At 33.0% G+C, this 22,364-nt stretch overlaps 1 protein-coding gene and 1 pseudogene across 4 annotated transcripts; both read left to right on the forward strand.

Annotated features, from left to right (window-relative positions):
• Positions 2,576 to 3,308, forward strand: LOC100422189 (UDP glucuronosyltransferase family 2 member B17 pseudogene; annotated as a pseudogene).
• Positions 4,575 to 20,604, forward strand: UGT2B10 (UDP glucuronosyltransferase family 2 member B10). Of its 4 annotated transcripts, none has more exons than NM_001075.6 (6): positions 4,575 to 5,318; positions 6,610 to 6,758; positions 10,852 to 10,983; positions 14,991 to 15,078; positions 15,910 to 16,129; positions 19,181 to 20,604. In NM_001075.6, the coding sequence occupies exons 1-6, from the start codon at positions 4,601 to 4,603 to the stop codon at positions 19,458 to 19,460; spliced, it is 1,587 nt and encodes a 528-aa protein (NP_001066.1). In that variant the 5' UTR covers positions 4,575 to 4,600; the 3' UTR covers positions 19,461 to 20,604. The 4 variants fall into 4 exon arrangements, with proteins under 4 accessions (NP_001066.1, XP_016864074.1, NP_001138239.1 ...); XM_017008585.3 differs by having other exon boundaries at positions 10,861 to 10,983; NM_001144767.3 differs by having other exon boundaries at positions 4,575 to 5,066.
• Positions 20,605 to 22,364: the final 1,760 nt, after the last annotated feature.

Here is a 22,364-nt window from a genome sequence, read left to right on the forward strand (position 1 = left end):
AGGCTGGGAATTCAGCTAGAACTGAGCTGGGCTTATTTTTAAAATTCAGTCCTGGACTTAAGATTCAGATTCATTTGGTGGTGGGGACCGGGTGCTTCTACATGAAGTGAGAGTCTCTGTATATGCTGCAGTTAGGGAAGCAGGAGCTGAGGAGAGACAGAGTAATGTGATTTTAAGTTCAGCTCCCTATAAACACACACACCTGCAATGAAGAGTCCAGATGTCCCAATACCCAAAACGATACATGATTTCAAGATAATAACAGTTATGTTTTGATGTATTCACACAAGAAAGTGTCAAGGATAGTTTTCTTGGCATAAATAGAATAATCAGTTTTGTCCTGTTGTCTGACCACCCACAACTAGACACAGCTTAATTAACCTTTACAGAGATGAGACTCCTACATAAGAAAAACTTAAAACAAAGGTGTTGCATTCAACTCCTTGCCTTCTGAGGATGCCCTACTCTGTAATGTCATAGCTTTCAATGAATTGTCTTCTCATTGCACTCTGTGACTGACCTTGAATTCCTTACTGTGTGGAATCCAATAACCTTCTCTTGGTGTCTGAATCTAGACCCCTTTTTCTGGTAACACTTCCAAGGAGACTTCTGGCTTTCACCGTTTGCCTTAATTTGATGGTTATTGGTCCTCACTCTTCCATTATTTTCTCCCAAGCATTAATTCTGCAGAAAAAAACATTTGCCTCTATTGTGGTCATAATTTCTACTTTTCCCATATTGATAAATTTGTGATATATCCTAATAAGTAAAGCTTTCCCTTTCAAAATACTACCAGCATAATTTACCATTACTGAAAGTATGAAAAATTTAAATTATCACATTCCAGGGGCTATTTGTGTTCTCTGTACCAATAGTGATAGGATTCTCATTACAACTGGTAGTGTATGATCCAACTCTAAAATCTCATTTTGTTGTCTGTTCTTTTTTTCTGACCTCTCTTGGTACATATTATCAAATGTTGGGTGCTTCCAAGAAGTAGACTCTAAGCTGAATATTTTTTGAGGGAGATAATTAGGGAGATTTCTTGAAAATAACATCTGTGAAAAAGTAGGAAGCAAGATTGGACAGTGGAACAAAATAGTACATAATTCAGTGCAATAGTTTGAATGTCTGAGTGCCCCCAAAATTAATATGTTAAAATTCTTATAACCAAAATGATTGTATTAGCAGACAGAACCTTTTAGGAGGTGTTTATGTCATGAAGGCAGAGTCCTCTTTAATGGAATTAATTCTTTTGAAAAATATGCTCACAATAACTCATTCATCTATTTTCCCCATTAAGACATGGTGATGGGTTGCCATCTTGGAGGAATGCCCAATACCAGCATCTTGATGGTGAATCTTTCAGCCTCAAGAACTGTGACAAATAAATGTTTGTTGTCTGTAAGCTAGCCAATGTATGGTATTTTTCTATATAGCACCCTGAGCATGCTAAGACATGCAGTCTCAGCATAGGTTTCATCTCACCCACTGGAAATTCTGAAGCTAAGTTAGCCCTTCAGAGTTGGTCCAAGTTGAAATGAGGAGAATGGGCCTTTAGAGTCCTACATGTGACCAGGCATTGGATATTGGCTGTCTTGGAAAAGTCACTACATACTAGATAGCTTTCAGCAGAGATGTACTGAGAGAGAGAGCTTATAGGTGAGGTATGTCAGTTGTTCATCACTTCATCAGCTGGAAAGTAATTTCTATATTCCCAAAAGGGAAATCTGGGTGACACATAATGCCTGCACTCAAGGACATTGAAAATATTGAACAATATTGCCACTCTCCAGGCAATATTTGCTCAGAAACTGTGTTCAAATATCTTTTTAAGAAAGATTTACCTCATTTCAGATTAACAGATTATTAATAGAATAAAAACAAATATCTCTATTTTGTGACATGCATCTTTTCCTTCCTAATTCTACTTGATGTAAATTTCTATTTAGACTTTTTAAAAGTACAACTTGCCTGAATTACAAGGCAATCTGTGAAACAAGTTAAGTAGTAGGCATTTAGAAGATAAATATTTTCTAAGACTGAGAAATGTAAGCAATGTTGCAAATATTCAGAAAAGGATATTATTGTGATTTAGACAAAATATTTTCAAATGAAACAAAGTAACTGTAATTGTACTTAAAACATATCTGTTTGGATAAAAATAAAAGGAATTTCTACAGTCAGAAAAACAATGTCAAGGAACATGAAATGAAGCTAATATAATAAGTGTGAAACTACATAGAGAAAATGAAGATATTCTATTTGAGAATGTTTAGATAAATAAGAATAGATCACACCACTGCCTCATTGTTGACAGAATGATGCTTTCTTATACTAGAAACTCTTTATATACAATTAAATTATCTCTTGTTCTGGAGACAGCCACATTTACAATAAGCAAATAACAATAAATTTATTATTCACACATACAAACACAAAATCATTCATCCTTTTCTTTATTCTCTTGCTTTCCAAAAACTCTATTGTCAACACTTAAATCATTGTGACATTGATTGACATTGATATGTACCAAGTTAGAGAAAGTTAGAAAGAAAGATAGCATTTTAACAAGTTGTCTAAGAAATGGGCTTTTTTGTTTCTTATGCTGACAGTTGTATTCTAGCTCTGAGTCCTGTGAGAATGTGCTGGTGTGGCCAGTGAAATACAGTCTTTATATCAATTTAATAATGATACTTGATGAACTTGCTCAGAAACACCAAGAGGTAACTGTGCTTGTCACCTTCAGCTTCCATCCTCATTGATTCCAACAATTTGCTGTTAAATTTGAGGTTTATCCCACATCTTTTACTGAGAATGAACTTGATTTCATTTTTATGAAATTGATCAAGATATGGACATACAAGTTTCCAAAGAGTACATTTTGGCATATGATTCAAAGATACAAAAAACACATATTATGAATGTTCTGATACTGTTCAAAAGCTCTGTGAGTATGCTGTTTTGAACAAGAAACTTATAAGGAACAACAAGATTCCAGAATTTATGTCATTCTTGCAGATGTCATTTCTCATTAGTGAGCTGCTATCTGAACAGCTTAATCTGTTAAACATTTGTTATACATTTGGTCTACTATCATCCATTTACAACTGGCAGTATGTACCAAGAACTCTGTGGAGGACTTTCATTACCTCCTTCTGATGTAGCTGTTGTCATGTCAGAACTTAGTACCAAAATACATTTACAGAAAGATGAAAAATCTTTTGCATTTTCTTCATTTTAACTTTGCATTTGATAATTTTAACAAAAAGAAGTGTGATCAGTTTTACAGTGAAGTATTAGGTAAGTTAGTGGTTAATTTATTCCCTTTTCCCTCCAATATGTGGAAGGAAACTTTCCTTTCTTTGTGTCTGTTAGAGTGTGTTAATGAATTAAAATAGAAAATAACCTTTTTTGTTATTTGAAAGATGAGGTTTGGCAAGTTGGTGGAGACACTGAAACTCTCATACATTGTTGGTGAGAATAGAAAATTATTCACCCACTGTGAAAAAGTCTAGCAATTCCTCAAAAGTTTACACATATATTTACCACATAATTCAATAATTGCCTTTCTAGGCATATACCCAAGAAAAATAAAAACATGTCTACAGAAAGCATGTACATCAATGTTAATCAACGCTATTCATAATGGCCAAAAGTGGAAGAAAAACAATGTCCGTACACTGATAAATGAATGAATAAATAAATTGTGTTTATAAGTAGCATCTGATACTATTTGGCAATAAAAATGTGAACGCTATTTATAATGGCCAAAAGTGGAAGAAAATCAATGTCCATCCACTGAAAAATGAATAAATAATTTCTGCTTATAAGTAGCATCTGATAAAAAGCAATAAAAATGAAATCCTTATATACACTATTCTATGGATGGTCCTTTAAAAACATTAAACTAAATAAAAGTAGCCAGCCACAAAAGACCACATATTATATAGTTTCATTTATTTTTAAAAAGATCCTGAATAGGCATATTTGTAGAGGCAGAAATTAGATTACTGGTTGCCCAGTACAGTGTGGGTGCAGAAATTCAGGTGGGGAGATGACAGTTAATATACAGGATTTTTTTTTTTTTTAGATAAAACTGATTGCTATGTTGGATGCACAAGTCTGTGAATTTACTAGGAAATATTTAATTTTAAATAATCATTCATGAATCATATGGTATGTGAATTATACTTCAACAAAGTTTTACAAAATATTCCTTGAACCAAGATATTCAAAAATTCTATTTGCATTGTATAATTACTTCATCTCTCATTCTGTGTCAAGGGGCCTGCAGGACTCTCTCACTTGCCACTGTTCTTGACACTATTATAAAATACATTATATAAAACACGATATTTGCAAGGTCATTAAACTTAGGTGGATGACACCAAATATAAACATAAAAGAAACATCAAACATCCTTGAGTAAATATGAAGTAATCGAACTTTGTCTCCTTGCCATCCATGTACTCAGGATGCTCATATAATGTATTTACTTTGAATTGAAGGAGTTATGTTTTAACTTGATTGATTTATCTCTGTATATAAGTATGAGAAAGAAACAGTGACTGGAAAAGAATTATCACATTGCACAAGGATGGCTCTGAAATGGACTACAGTTCTGCTGATACAACTCAGTTTTTACTTTAGCTCTGGGAGTTGTGGAAAGGTGCTGGTATGGGCCGCAGAATACAGCCTTTGGATGAATATGAAGACAATCCTGAAAGAACTTGTTCAGAGAGGTCATGAGGTGACTGTACTGGCATCTTCAGCTTCCATTCTTTTTGATCCCAACGACTCATCCACTCTTAAACTTGAAGTTTATCCTACATCTTTAACTAAAACTGAATTTGAGAATATCATCATGCAATTGGTTAAGAGATTGTCAGAAATTCAAAAAGATACATTTTGGTTACCTTTTTCACAAGAACAAGAAATCCTGTGGGCAATTAATGACATAATTAGAAACTTCTGTAAAGATGTAGTTTCAAATAAGAAACTTATGAAAAAACTACAAGAGTCAAGATTTGACATCGTTTTTGCAGATGCTTATTTACCCTGTGGTGAGCTGCTGGCTGAGCTATTTAACATACCCTTTGTGTACAGTCACAGCTTCAGTCCTGGCTACTCATTTGAAAGGCACAGTGGAGGATTTATTTTCCCTCCTTCCTACGTACCTGTTGTTATGTCAAAATTAAGTGATCAAATGACTTTCATGGAGAGGGTAAAAAATATGCTCTATGTGCTTTATTTTGACTTTTGGTTCCAAATATTTAATATGAAGAAGTGGGATCAGTTTTACAGTGAAGTTTTAGGTAAGATTTTTTTCAATTAGTAACATGAAGCTCTAACTTATTTGTGTCTTTGAAGCACAACTTGCATAAAGCCATAAAGTCAGGGAAGTGGAGTTTTTGGTAAATGAATTTATGAAATGAAAATACAAGATGATCTACCAATCTCACAAATATTATAGAAAAGCTTAAATTATAGGGTCAGTGAAAACGCTGTGACCATCACTCATACAGAACACCCCAGGAAATCATAAACCTATATATTAGTACACCTAAGACTTTAAGCAATTATATATCTGTTTTACTATAGAATGTTTCAGATCTTAAAAACAGCAAGATCCGTCAAGTAACATCTAACCGAATGCATAGATTTAGAATGAGTAATTACACATTTTTCTACAACTATCTATATAACTGCAGAAATTTTTCCTTCTAAATCTCAGTTGTCTTATTTAGAAATTAAAAGATGTTCCCATGTTACCAGGAGGTTGTCTTCACAGTAGAGAGAGATAATGTCTATATCTCAGATGCAAAAATCAATAAGGGTAATTTGAAGTTTCAAATGTTTCTATACTCCTTCACTAAATAATTGGAAATCTTTTATTTAAAGTCCAATCATCTTGTTGAAGTGTGAAGGTTGTTATATCTATATAGTTTATTTGAAACTATGTCTCTTTATTTAAAAATACGAGACTGATTATGGTCGAGTACAGATCTCTATTTCAATAATTTCTCAAAAATTTCTAGCTATAATTTACAAATATTTTTACTTAATATTATTAAGATCTTAGCTTGGATCCAAATGAGTAGTTGGTACAATGATTTCAGCCATACTCACAAAATAGTCCACAGTTAACTTGAAGAACCAAAGATAAAAGGATTAGCTTAATGAGTTGTGTAAACTAGACTATTTGTTAGAAAATTGTTTCTATGGTTACTGTAGAATTAATTGATTATGGAGCTCAAAGATTTGTTTAAATATCTAGAGGCTACTATTGAAGCTTTAAAGAGAAAATAAATTGATGTTTAATTCTCTATGACTTATTTTAATAATTGTGAGTATACTGACATGACATTAGAGATGTAGCTTAACCTCATAATTCTCCCACTACTTTGCCTTTCTTATAAATAAACAAGGGCAAAATATAGAATACATAAAAAATAAATTATTCCTATATATGAATATATGTACATATTTTTCAAAGCACACAAACTTTACCAACATTTTTGCCTGCATTATTCTAACCCCTTTCAGAAAATTACATAAAGTAATTATCTTATGTCATCCACTTCTTCTTTTCTTTATTCCTATCAGGAAGACCCACTACATTATCTGAGACAATGAGGAAAGCTGACATATGGCTTATGCGAAACTCCTGGAATTTTAAATTTCCTCATCCATTCTTACCAAATGTTGATTTTGTTGGAGGACTCCACTGCAAACCTGCCAAACCCCTACCTAAGGTAAACATACTTTCGTTGGTTTTATTTTGTTGGCTTCAAATTTCAGTAGAAATGACTGTATAGTCTTCATTCAGAGTGTTTGACTAACACTGAAAAAGATGGGAAGTAGGTGGGGTAAAGCAGATACCAATTAGAAACTCATGTACATGTTAATACCATCACACGTATGTGAGTTTTATGCATGTTACAAATAGAGAGGAATACTAAAGAAACTTTGAAAATAGGGTTGGTTAAATTAAAGTCTTGATTATGCAACACCTAAGAAGGTATTGGTCATTCATTCAAAGAATATTTACAAAGAGATTATCACAAAACACAGGTAAGTGCACAATTTTCAGAGAAAAAAAATAGACACAGTTTCTGTCCCTACATACCTTACATTCTACTTTGAAATATAGAATATAAGTAAGTAATGAATATTATATAAAAACTATTATCTCAAGAAAAAAACCCAATGCTAAGAAAGCATCAGTGGAGATAATAGAAAGTATCCTGGAGTCACTGATGAGTACGATGAGAGCTGAACAATATGCAGGAATAGGGAAAAGAATGGTGGGGAGAGACAGACAAAAAGGGAAAGCAGATAAAGTGGTCAGGACAGTTCTCAAGTCCTCAGGTTTAGTTTGCAGGGAATGATTAAGAATCAGATGACCCTAAAAGGTAAATTAGAGCCAGATACGTATTAGGAGTTGAAATATTTATTAAGAACATTGAAAACATCCTAAAAAGAGTTCAGAAATAAGGATATATGAAATGATTCTTTTTATAAGAAAAGCCTCCAAGATATTCAATGGATTAAATTGCAGAAGGGCCAGACTGTAAAGACCGAAACATTCAGGAAATTTTCCATGGATTCAGGTAGCAGATGATGAAAAAGTGGACTACACTGTTGATAGAAATAATTATGCCTACATTTACAAAAATAGTGCCAACTTCATATTGTGTTGTGTGGAAAAAAATATTAACACAGACAAAACACTTAAAATGTCTCTGGCATATAGTCAGTGACTCAGAAATGTTATTAATTTTGCAATTATGGTTATTTTATTACTAATACTACTAACTACTTAACATGTGCATGTCACTTGAGATATCATTCCTCATTTAAGAGAACCAGATTATTCAGCACATCAAGGTTATATTGTCTTGGAATGTCATAGATGACAGATACCCTTGGACTTGATTAAAAGTAGACATATCAGTTGTGACAGCAAGATAAGCTAGTTGAAATTTTAAAATTCTTCCATAAGTAATAAGGATCTTCACCAGTATTCCAGCTTAAAACACTTCCTCAACAATATAAATGTGTGCCTCAAATATGTGCAGACAAACACAGGGTTCACATGATTTTAATAAAGCATTTAAATCATTCTGCATTGAGATCCCAGAATTTTACATTTTAGAGCATAAACATATCCTATTAGAGCAGATGATTTCTGCCTTATGACAGGCCACTCAATAAAGCTTCCTGGGGGAACTCGTCTTGACATCATAGGTGTCTGACAGAGAAGCACAGAGATAATGAACAATGCATGTATAATAAAGACCAAATAATTTCTGCCACTTGTTTCTGAATAGTGCCCTTAATTTCAATACGAAAAAAAATTCCGTCAGCATATAAGATTATATTCTTTTCGAAGGAATACAAGAACTTCATATATTTTAATTAACATCACATTTTAAGGCATATGTAAAAAGTAAGGCTTCTTCAATGGATTATTATGCAATCTCTTAAAAGATCATTTTTGCTTGCATAAAACTGAGAATTTGTTCCATTGTTAAAACTCAGTATCTATGTTTAATGCAAGTTGTATAGGCTTTATAGAGTCAGTTTCTTAAGAGACAAAAGTTGAGGTAAGACTAATGAAAAATATATGCCACTCTACCCTACTCTTGAAAGATTTCCCCACTCACACTAAGGGAAACTGACAGTGCCAGTAGAAGGAGGAAGAGAGTAGGACAATGTAGAAGGACAAGAAAAAAAGGTTGACTGGTAGTACAATAGTGGTAATAACTAATACTAGCTCTTGTTATTAACTTGCAGAAAGCATTGAATGAAAGTCAATGGTTGTGAAACCAGTTCTTTAATTGTTTATTATGTAAAATATTTGCTAAGCCAGGTTGCTTTCTTTTCAATTATATATTAGATTCTCAGATAATTTCTATATATTTTAAGAGAATAAGACACTTGACAAAATGTATCAGGTGTTTTAAAAATACATATTGTTATTAGTTTTATAATATAGTCATGTGAAATCATAAAAAAATTAATCAAGGTGTACCTTTTAAACATTATGGAAAATATTCACAAAATTAACATTGGAAGTAATCCAACATGTTACATGAAATAATGATTAGAAACATATGCCTACAATAGCACTAAAATGATTTTATCAATGAAATGTTCAATTATGCTGTCAGCCATAATACACATACAGTGAATAAGAAAATTATAAATATAACACGATGGCAAATTTTTGCAGGAGGAAATGTATATAAAATGAGATTAAAATTTTCTAAATAAGTGTCGTGTATGTACATTGACCTATATAAGTAGGGCAAAATCCATAATAAAAAATACATAATTTCTATAAATAATATCTCTAGATAGAAATTTTAGAAAAAATTATTTTTAAAAAACTTTTCTTACTGTTATAAAATTTCTTACATTAACTTTGTAGTATTTTTATAACATTATCACAAAAGGAGAAACAACCAGTCAATATCAGTGATGAATCTCTACACAGAGGTTAGATTCCTTCAACACTGCATAGAAAAACAAGGCTCTGGCATCAAGCCAGTAAGATGAAACACTGAACACGAGTTACATTAAATGTGGCTACAGGTAACTGCAATCACACACAATACCTAGATGCCCCAAGTATTATGTGGAATAGTAGTACAGGGACTCTCACGTTAACTTAAGATTACAAATCACATTTTAAAAAACGTTCTGCCATATGTGGTGCACAGTTTACACTTAGACACATTTTTTCTATGTTTTGTTAAAAACCACTGGGGAAAGTTTTACCCCAATGATTAAATCTGAAAGTATTTAAATTTATATATTGGCATACATTGGGGAACTCAAGTCAGAATAATTCTCAATCAATTGCAGCCAAGCACATCTTCACCAGGAGTGTAATGTGGTGTGCGTGAGCTACTCAAAAGAGAGACAAGATCCCCCTGAAGAAAGGCCTGGTGGCCTCTCCTATTCTGGTGCAAGTGCTGCCTCTGAGACACAACAAAGTGATGATGAGAGTTCCTCACATGCAGTTAGAAATAGCACATCAATTTAACAGTGTGATTTCAGGGCAATACGTGCTCCACCTAAACAATAACCTGAAAGGTACAATTATTCAACTACTAACTATAAACTGTACAATTCTGTATTATAAATGAGACTCTAAGGACTGATTCATAAATATTCCAAATCACAATACTAGACTCCAGAATGTCAGTGATTCTTAACCCCCAGCTTTTATTTTTTATTTTATTTTTTGAAAAACTACTGGAAAACTCTGACAAATTTTAAGTGAAGCAAAAAGCATTGTAGAGTAACGTAAATGTAGATATAAAATTATCCCAACTGTGAGTAGCTTTTCCTCAGTACTCATAGTTAGGGAAGTAAACCACTAATGGCTTCAAACTAAAAGAATTCTACAGAAAACCTGCCTGAAATAAACACAAGTGATTTAGTAGAACAAAAATATAGATTAAACCCTAGTGGTGCCACTTTTCCAAGGACTTATAGTAGCAATTATAGTATTATAAGTGAAGAGTCTGGGTATATGTTTTAACATTATCTCCCTGACTACAATGTAATAGCTCCTTTTCTTTTCTCCATTACACACATACAGACACATACCTACATACACACACATATTTACACAAATATCCTTAACAGAGGCCAACTATCTCATACATCTTCTTGCAAAGAAACAGTGATTGAGTCAGTTAAAAAATATTATTTACTCCAATAATTCCTCAAAATACTTGATTTTCTCTCTTTAATATTTTGTACCAATTCTTTCGGTAGTGCCTGCTGTGGTGATACTCTTTTATGATGAAACATTTTTTCTTTTTCCCACAGGAAATGGAGGAGTTTGTACAGAGCTCTGGAGAAAATGGTGTTGTGGTGTTTTCTCTGGGGTCAATGGTCAGTAACATGACAGAAGAAAGGGCCAACGTAATTGCAACAGCCCTTGCCAAGATCCCACAAAAGGTAAGATAAAGTGCCTTACTGGTGTGGAAAACTACTGAAAGAGGCTGTTAAAGTTTGTGATCTACATAGAAAGAATATTAAAGAGTAGACTGAACTATTTATAGCTGAATACAACCTTAAATATGCTTGTATAGCATCCACTGACAGAAGTAATAGTTGTGCCTCAGACTTAGTGATTACATGTGGCCCTGGGGTAGTTACTACCCTTGGTATGCATGAGTGATTCCTATTAGCATCAGTGGGAACTCAGTACTCCATATGTATCCACAAAAGGGAACTTGAGACCCACAATTACTTTTAATTTCTGATGTTAACAGTCATACCTACTGCTGAATTTAACTCAATATATTTCAGTTAAGTGAAAATGGTGCTTAATGTAGTCTTTAGAATGACTTTCAGGTGTTTTCAACTAAAAATATATATCCAGAACTGTGTTCTTGTAGAAATACAAGTAAGATTTATGATAATTTTCTTCAAAAGAGTTTTCCTAATCTCAGCAGTATCCAATGGGTGAAGAACACTTGACTAACTCTTGGGCCACCTCTATTACTTATTGTACTCTGGAAGCCCTTGGTGAATGTTTACAATTAAGGAATGTAGTATTTCTGTTTGTACTTTAAGTCAAATGCTTATATGAAATATGTGGCAACAAATAGAGAAGACTGGCTCTGGTGGTCATTATGCAGTATATACTCTATTTAAGGATCAGTGGTAGTATAGCATGATTGAATGTCATTAATATAGGAATAATAACTGGCATATGTGGAGAGTAGGGGAGTAAAAAGAATGAATTCCAGTCCTGTGATTAAAAGTGTAAACTATAGGATGGGCATGGTGGTTCGCGCCTGTAATCCCAGCACTTTGGGAGGCCAAGGCGGGCAGATCACGAGGTCAGGAGATCGAGATCACCCTGAACGATATGGTGAAACCCTGTCTCTACTAAAGATACAAAAAATTAGGCAGGAGTGGTGGTGTGTGCCTGTAACCCCAGCTATTCAGGACACTGAGGCAGGAGAATCCCTTGAACCAAGGAGGCGGAGGTTGCAATGAGGCAAGATCACAACATTGCACTCCAGCCTGGGCTACAGGGCCACACTCTGTCTCAAAAAAAGTAAACTAGTAAACTAGAGACTCTACTGTAGTATATTTCAGGACCTAGAAGTTTTACTTTTATAAACATGGTGCCTGGAAGATGTCACTAATGTATTTTACTTCAGCATAGGGAACAAACTTTTTAAGTATATTAATAAATATTCCTGTATGGTAAGTTTTTAAAATTTTTTAAAATAAACTTTATGAATATGACAAATAAAAAAGAAAGTTCGGGCCTAAAAATTAGAGCTTTTGGGAAAGCACTAATTATCTCAGATATTAGTTCAAAATCAAAAATATACATGGATGATGCTATAATAATAGGCTGTTTTTCATTGATAATAAGTTTGGCATTAATAATATGACCAGGAATAAATTTATTTAAGAAATGTAGATGAAGTATCGATATTATCATGTTATAGGGATCAGGTAAGAGTTATCACCAAATTCTGCCCCTGTCATTTGACCCTTTTGTTTAAGAATTCCTGAGGGCACTGTACACACTACAGATGTTATCAGAAAAAGTTACGTTTTAATGGGTGACTTCAGTAGCACAATAACAATAGCAGGTATTTCAAAAAGTCTGACATGCATCATGCAGTTTAGGTTTGCCATATTATCCAGCCTCAGATACTTCCTCTACATTTTGGCATAGGCCTATCTGAATGATGTTCAGGCTACTATTCAGAGAAAGAGTGGCCTAGGCCAACAGACAACTAGTCCAAGTACCCACACAACCAGGTAGATTTAGAGAAAGAGAAAAAGCAGCTTGCCCTGCTGGACTGGGCCCAGCCAATATCTGAAGCAGGCAGGTGAAAAGGAAAAGGTGCAGATGGATCCTGACCTGAAGGTGGATCCTGTCCAGTATAAAATGTGGCCCCACAAGGACTCAGCACTAATTACCAGATTAACAACCCCTCCCAATGGACGCAGCAGAAGGAAATATAGGAAGGAGACAAACAGAAGGAAGCCAGGCAGGGGAACAGGTTCAGATGCCCCCTCCATAGAACATAGTAGGAATATATTTTCTTCTATATAGAATAAACCAGTGACCTTTGTCCATTTGTCAATTACTTTCTAATTTCCTATCTGATAAAGCTTTCTTGTAATGGCCTCTAAATTTTGCTTAAACCTGAGTTACTTTAACAGTGATGTAGCAAATAAAATTAAACACTGTAAATTATTGTTCAGTTTATGAGGATTGCTTTGGAGTTTCAAAATTAGTAACAACATAAAAATGTCTTGGCTATAGAAGAACATATTAATCACTGTTGTCAAAGCTTTGTAGCACCTTGTCTAAGTGTTAATAATCTGTTGACCAAATTCAGCAAAATACAATTTTGAGGTTATTCAAAAGCTTTATTTTTATTCATGATACCAACATGTTCCTTATTTCTATGCCAAAAAAATCCAAAATTAGCAATACTGGTTGGTAATACTCTGAATTTGTGTCAAAAATTGTCACTTGAAATTTTTCTTGGAAGTAGTGCTTGATAATTTGTAATTCCAATGAAGTTATACATAAAACCCTTGCAGCATTTATTTATTTCTTGTAGTAGCTTATTTTATAGACTTGCTATTTTGTCAATCAAAGGACAACAGGCTGTAATATAATAACTTACAGACAAGTAGATATATTGAAACTACTCATATTACTCAAAAAGAAACGAATACATTACAATTAAATTTGGAGATGAAAACTAACATAAAATACATAAAACAAAATAAACATATAGGTCATTACTAAATTGTTACTTTTTTTATACCAGAATTACAATGACTCCCTATAATTTTTTATACTTTTTTTATAATATTTTTATTTTTTTAATTAAATTAACTTTTATTTTTAACTTTTATTTTAAGTTCAGGAGTACATGTGCAGGTTTTTTACATAGGGAAACTTGTGTCATGGGGGTTTGTTGTACTGATTGTTTCATCACCCACGTATTAAGACTAATATTCATTTATTATTTTTCCTGATCCTCTCTTTCCTCCCATCCTCCACCTTCCAATACATCTCAGTGTATGTTGTTGCCTTCTATGTGTACATGTGTTCTCATCTTTTAGCTTCCACTCATAAGTGAGGACTTGTTACACTTGGATTTCAATTCCTATGTTAGTTTGCTAAGGCTAATGGCCACCAGCTCAATCCTTATCCCTGCAAAATACATATTTTTATTCTTTTTATGGCTGCATAATATTCTGTAGTGTATATATACCATATTTTCTTTATTCAGTCCATAATTGATGGTCATTTAGGTTGATTTCATGTCCTTGCTATTGTGAATAGTAGTGCAACTAACATATAGTTTCATGGATCTTTATGACAGAACAAGTTATAGTCCTTTGGTTATATACCTAGTAATGGGATTGCTGGGTTTCATGGTATTTTTGCCTCTAGGTTTTTGAGGAATCACCACACTGTCTTCCACAATGATTGAACTAACTTACATTCCAACCAACAGAGTATAAGCATTCCTTTTCTATACAACCTCGCCAACATCATGATATTTTTTGAGTTTTTAATAATGGCCATTCTGACTGGTGTGCGATGTTATCTCATTGTGGTTTTGATTTGAATTTCTCTAATGATGTGTGATGTTAAACTTTTTTTCTTCGATGGTTAGCCGCAGGTAGTTCTTCTTTTAAAAAGTATAAAAATTTTCTAAATACTTGAACTTTTCATTGATAATCTTATTTTTCTAAGGTATTACTTTGGAAAATAATGGTTTCTTATATACCTAAATCATTATAAAAGTTCAGAAAATAAAATGTGGTTATTCTTTTTGCATCAGTCTTTGAGTAGATTTATTTACTAACATCCCTTGATTTCATTTCTACTCTTTTTACAGTTCTAACATTTTATAACTTTTGAGTTCCACTCGTGGAATAAGATATTCTCTTTACTGTAACAGGTTCTTTGGAGATTTGATGGGAATAAACCAGATGCCTTAGGTCTCAATACTCGACTGTACAAGTGGATACCCCAGAATGACCTTCTAGGTAACACTCTGGTGAACAATACTGGATATATTAGTAACTGCACATTAGAGTGTTAATAGTTCATCTCGAAGCATGCTTATTGAATATTTGTTATAGGAAAACAAAAAAGAACTTCTTTATATTTATTTTCCAGTCCTAGGGGAAAAGAATATGTTATAATTGTTGGCATTTTGTGATACACACTCACATTCTTTGTGGTCAGAATCAGAGGTAATCTTTATTTCAGGTGCTATTATATCTCACAGAATTTTTCAATATCTTCCTGGGCTGTCCCTCTGTCTCCTGTTTCTACAACTTTACACCTGTTTTCTCCTCTCCTGCAGGGTTATTTCAAATGCCACTAAATATAATAGCTCTTCTATCACCAGTGACTGTATTTTCTGGAGGACTAAATTCCTAATCTTAAAGTAATGACACATTTCATGATGAAGTGTGACCTGTCTTTCCTCAATCTTAGCACCACCACCAACCCACTGCCTGCTGCCTTGCACACCCCACATATCACACTCTGTGACTGTACTTAGAATAACACTTCATTTCATGCCCATCTCTTTGCTGTCCTCTTTTGTGCACATTTTAAAAATCTAGAATGCTCTTTTTCATTAGTCCAACTGGAAATCTTGTATTAAGTTTTGCAGTCTGAAGTCACACCACCATATAGCCTTCAGTTACATCTCCAACACAAGTACCTGTTTTTTCCTCTGAAATCTGAAAAGTAATAGCAAATTAGTTCAGTGTGTTATCTAGAAAACACTGTCACTTTCAGAGCCTTTCATTGTGCATCTCATTTTATTCCTATGAATAATTTTGCTAAAATTCATCCAATCCTAGGTCATCCAAAAACCAGAGCTTTTATAACTCATGGTGGAGCCAATGGCATCTATGAGGCAATCTACCATGGGATCCCTATGGTGGGCATTCCATTGTTTTTTGATCAACCTGATAATATTGCTCACATGAAGGCCAAGGGAGCAGCTGTTAGAGTGGACTTCAACACAATGTCGAGTACAGACCTGCTGAATGCACTGAAGACAGTAATTAATGATCCTTCGTGAGTAGAACAATATTTTTCACTAGATGGTATTAATAGATAGCTTTTCTTGTCAGTAGTGAGCATGAGTTTCATCCTTTTTATAAGAGAGTGATTTTGAAAGAATTTAAATGATTTAACCAATCCGAAATCTGCTTTTACTTTTTATCTGTTATTTAAAAATTGTATTTGAACCCCATACATCTAATGAGTAACCAGTTAGTGAAACAGTTTTCTAAATAAAAATAATTTTAAAATGATATAGATAATATAAAAAAATACATTTCTTAAAAATTTGACATAATGAATCCATAGTAGAAAGGAAGAATAATCTTGAAATAATATAATAAAATGTTTTAATTAAATATCTAAAATGTCTCAGAATATAACTATTTTCTTGCAGAAAAATTAATTTTTATTATTATCTTTATTGTAACAGACTTGAAAATGAGATTTAATTTTGATAGCATAAAACCCACCTATTTATGGCAAAAATTCCAAATATTTTTACTATGTTTACAGAGTCATGAAGTCATCACCAGTGTATAAGTTTGGAACATTTTTATCAACGCAAAAGAAACTGCAGTGACACCAAAATCACCTCCCATGACTGCTTAGTCATAGTCTAACACCAATTTGTTTTCTTTCTCTATAGATTATTCTCTATAGATGTTTCATATAAATGGAATCATACAGTCTAGGGTACTGTGTAAATGACATTTCACCTAGCCTAATTTTTTTTTATGGTTTTTAGTTTAATTCATGTCGTTGTGTGTTTTAATATTTAATTTCTTTTACACTTGTATAATATTTTTTAATATAGATACGTCATAATTTAGTTGTTCATTTATCAGTTCATTGGCCTTTGTGTAAGGAGGGTATCATCTAAAGAAATACTCTAAAAATACTTTATCACAAAGACAATAGAAGGATAAAGAATGATCAAAACACCTTTAAAGAAGATGGGAAATAATTGAATAGAAACACAAACCAACTTGGACAAATAGAAAAGAAATATAAAACAAAGTGGTAGATTTAAATGTGATTATACAAATACTTTCACTCAACCTAAACAGACTTTTTTAAAAAAACAAGCAAATAATGAGTAAGGACATAAAACGTTTGAAGAACACAATTAACAAATGGAATCTTATAATGTAAAATGATATACACACATGTACATATACAATACACATATATGTATCGTATATATCAACTGGAAGACACATTTTCCTAGAGCATGTTGAATAGTTAATAGTCATTTGAAGTGGCATGTGGTGGGAAATAAATCAAGACTTAGGAAATATAAAAAGATTCAATATCATAAAGACTATATGATCCAGCCATAGTGGAAGTAAGGGAGGTTATAAATACTATTACTAAAATATCTTTAAATTTTGGAAATTAACAAAATACACTTCAAATATTTAAAGTCAAGAAGTAAATCATAATTATGCATGCACTGTTATCTCAGCAATTCTACTCTCAATTATATACCCAACAGATATGTATAAATATATAAATCTAATGGTATATAGAAGAGTGGTCATGACAGAATTATCAACAGTGTCCAAAAAGCGTTAGCAACAGAAATATCTATTCAACATAAAATGAAGACATAGTTTGTGCTTTATCCATCAACAAAATACTACACAGCAATGGAATTACCCAAGAACGGTTACACTAAAAAAAATAAACACTAAGGAGTACATATTATATAATTCAATTACATAAACAAGCAAAGCTAGTGCTGCTATTCAAAGTCCGGTTATTCTTTAGTTGGTGGACAAAAGTGGTGACAAAATGGTTCAGAAAAAGAGAGCTATTCTAGGCAGGTTGTGATATCCTGTACCATGAACTGAACAATAGGTAAATTGGTATTTTTGCCTCAAGATAATGTTCAAGATGATCTTCCATTTTTGAACTATTCACTTAGTGTACGTATATTTATCTTTTGTATTTTGTATTTAAATATATATTTTATGAGATATATAAATCATTTTAAAAATTCTAGGAATCAGATAGAAAATAAGCACAGTAAACAGAGAAAATCCTAGAGGTTCCGTCAGATTGTGGCCAGTAAAAGCCTCTCTTAGAGGTAACACTTAGAGGGAAGCCACAAAAAGGGAGAGAAGCATGCCTTGGGTATAGCAAGAAAGAATACTCCAAGAGCGGGAGAGAAGGGATAAAATGTGTAAAGTGCTAAGATGAGAACACCTTTGGAAGCTTAAAGAAAAATAGTAGGCCAATCTAGAAGACAGTGTGCAGGTAAAAGTGTTAGAAAAAGACCTTGCCAGTGTCTAACAATGTAGGGTTCTGTAGACCAAATAACAGAGTTGGATTTTATTCTTAAAATAATGAGAAGCCAGGCAAAAATCTTAATCAGGGGAGTGCCATAATCTCACTTTAGTTGCAAAACATCATTCTGGCTACAGGGTGGGAAACAGTAGGAGACAAAAGAGTAATCTAGAAGCCAAGTGACTAGCTATGAGGCATGTCACTCACCATGATAAAATTCCTTTTTAGGAACTTAGAGATGTTAATTCTCAGATTGCATTTTCACATCTTTCTTGCAGCACTTAAAATGGCTCATGATGTTGAGCACGTTCTAATATGCCTGTTTTAGAACTAATAGTGTAATGTGGAATGTGTTCATAATACAAAGGATAAATGCTTAAGGAATGAATATCTTATTTTCCATGATGTGATTATTTCACTTTGTATCAAAACATCTCATATACCCCATAAACATATGCACTTAATATGGACCCACAAAAACTTAAAATTAAAAAATTAAAAACAAATTAAAAATGCCTGATACTTTCTCTGCTTGAAAAAAATAACTTTCTCACCTGACTTTCCTTTTCTACTTTAAAAATATTTGTCAATGAGAAAAGTCCAATTTAAAAGCCAAACTTTGTATGATGACTCAAATTAAAATACATAAATTCTATATCAATTCTTTGACATTTACTTTGAATTATTTGACACTTTAAAAGCCTTTCATAGACTTGATATCTACAGGCAAATTAACTTACTTTCAGTGTCGGTATCTTTATTTTTATCCTTCAGATATAAAGAGAATATTATGAAATTATCAAGAATTCAACATGATCAACCAGTGAAGCCCCTGGATCGAGCAGTCTTCTGGATTGAATTTGTCATGCGCCACAAAGGAGCCAAACATCTTCGAGTTGCAGCCCACAACCTCACCTGGTTCCAGTACCACTCTTTGGATGTGATTGGGTTCCTGCTGGCTTGTGTGGCAACCGTGCTATTTATCATCACAAAGTGTTGTCTGTTTTGTTTCTGGAAGTTTGCTAGAAAAGGAAAGAAGGGAAAAAGGGATTAGTTATATCTGAGATTTGAAGCTGGAAAACCTGATAGATAGGAATACTTCAGTTGATTCCAGCAATAAATATTGTGATGCAAGATTTCTTTCTTCCTGTGACAAAAAAAAATCCTTTCGAAGTCTACCTTGTCAAGTAAAAATTTGTTTTTCAGAGATTTACCACCCAGTTAATGGTTAGAAATATTCTGTGGCAATGAAGAAAACACTAGGGGAAATAAAAAATAATATAAAGCCATATGAGCTTGTATTGAAATTTGTTGCACTTATATTGAAATGTGATCATGGCTCACTTCAGCCTCAACTTACTAAGCTCAAGAGGTTCTCTCACCTCAGCCCCCCAAGTAGCTGGGACCATAGGTGCATGTCACCATGTCCAACTAATTTTTTATTTTTTGTAGTGATGAGATCTCATTGTGTTCTCCATGCTGATTTCAAACTCCTGGGCTCAAACAATCCTCCCATTTTAGCATCCCAAAGGGATGAGATTACAGGTATGTACCACCATAACTTTACAAAATGAGATTTTTATATAAGAATGATTCAAATGTTCAGGGATGAAAGAGTCACTAACATAAAAGAAGAATGGGATGAGGTGAGAAGGATGAATACAAAAATAATTAGATATTCTTGAAATCAGAAATGTGCTCCCTAATTATATGAAATGTTGTTTGATTACATAAAATAAAGTGGAAATGAATGATTGACTGAACAGCCCACAAGAAGAATCACTTAATGCTCTGAAAATTACCAGTAAACTGATTAAAATCTAAAATTGCTTTCTGTTAAAGCTTTACTGATTAGTTTTTCTTCCAAAGCTCTCTTGTTTCTAGTTGTTTTCTTGGTCTTAACTACCCATTATATGCTTTGTTAAAGTGTTTATGCCCTGATTCAATGTGATTATCTCAATTTTTATTTCATTCTGTCCTAACTCTTGCAACCTGCATGTCCTCTTTATTATTGATCAATCCAACTGCAAAGTTCACCTTACCTGACTAAGGATTATTCATTAAGTTTTACTTGTTTATCTGACATTTATTATTTTGTCTCTTTGCTAGTCACTCTGAGCCATGGTCATGATGACTTAGGATTCTGGATCTCTTATGAATAACAAATTTATCCTTAATAAAGTCTCTATACTAAAGAAGAATCTAATGAAAAATATCACTTGATAAAATGAGTGCAGTACGTGAACAAATTTCTGACTGGATCATAAACCCAAAAAGTGATTAATCAATTTATTATTTAGGGACTAACAATGAAATCAATTATATATCATTATATAATTTGAATTGGTAAAAATTAATATTTATCATAGGTAAAGCACAAAATAACTGGCGACTCCAGTGCTGGTTTGTTGGGAGTATGAATAGAGTGGTGATAGGTGAAGGGCACCCATGGGCCCAGCACAACAAGAATCCCTCTAACCAGGTCCGAGCTAGCAACTACTGAAATCAAAAATCCAACCTACTAGTATCTCAATTTTTAATATATATTTGGACATTAGACAAGTGACCACCAGTGGAACTGTGGACTCAGTGGCTCAAATCTAAGCTCACCTTTGTCTGAACCTCTATATGGCCCCCAACTTTCAAAAAAGAAAGTCATGCCTCCTACTCATCCAAACTTTACCAAGATTCAGTGTCTTAGGGTACAACTTAAAAATAATAACAAATGAGAAATTTGAAATTTTATGCCTCACCAGTTTTCAATTTATCGTCCCTCATATCCTAATACAGCTTTATGATACTGAATCAGGATCCTGTAAGCATTCCTCCTTTGCCAGCTAGTTGAAAGTTAAGCTTCATCAATAGAGGACACTCGAGTGATGGTGAGGTGCTTGATGCAGGAAGGTGCATCCCTTCCAAGACTCACACTTTAGTTATTCAGTAATGTTTATCATTAATATTGGAGTTTAAGAATATGAATGTTAAAGAATATATTTAAGAATACTAAAGAATATACTTTAAGAAGGCAAGAGGAAAACTTCTAATAGCACATTTGTTTTACCTTTTATTAAATATTGCATTCTGCATAGAAATTAATTCAGAAAACTCCTACATAAACCATTTATATGAGTCTTTTGTAATCACTGAAAGAAATAGACTGTTGACAGTCACCTTTTAAAAGGGTGTATACCATTCAACTCTTAGGTATACCATTTATTATTTTGTTTCCTGCAAACTCAAAGCATCTAGGAGTGAGATTACAAAAATAACAACAACAACAAAAAAGCAGTGTTGGCTAATTTGTCAGCATATGGAAGTTAAATTTCTTACAGACACACAACTTCTGTGTAAATGTAAATCACTTGGCCATTCTAGCTCTATTATCAAATTTATAGTTTCCCAGAGACAAACATTGCTTTGGCTTTTGTCTGGTTTTGGATAGTTGGTTGTCTTTTCTCTTCATGCTTCCTTATCTCCTTTATTTCATTTATTTTTAATTAAAAAACAAAGAGACAGGAATTACCTATATTTCATTGTTGAAGGTTAAATTTTGTTTGTATTTGTACCTTAGTTCCACACTTTTTTCTTTCTGGAAACGTATATGATAAACATATGCTTGAAAACAAAGGATTACATGGATATTCTGAACTCCCAAAAAGAGAATCTCATGACTAAGCCAATTTCACATTTCTAATTAGCATACTTGCTTTCATTGAGTGTTTTGAAATTTAACTAAACATAAAATTAAAAAAAAAAAAACCTCTAGGCTAGTGTATATATAGCACTAACTAAAGAGAGGAAAACTAGAATTACAGTAATAACAAAATTAATTGAATATCATAAAGAATTACATGCAGGTTGTTAGACTATAATATTAAAATCATAATTACCTTTTAACTATAGGAAAACTCTAGTTTATTAGAAAGACTACATAAATCTATGCTTCTACTTTTATGTT

This window comes from Homo sapiens, chromosome 4, assembly GCF_000001405.40.
Source record: "Homo sapiens chromosome 4, GRCh38.p14 Primary Assembly".
Lineage (NCBI taxonomy): Eukaryota > Metazoa > Chordata > Mammalia > Primates > Hominidae > Homo > Homo sapiens.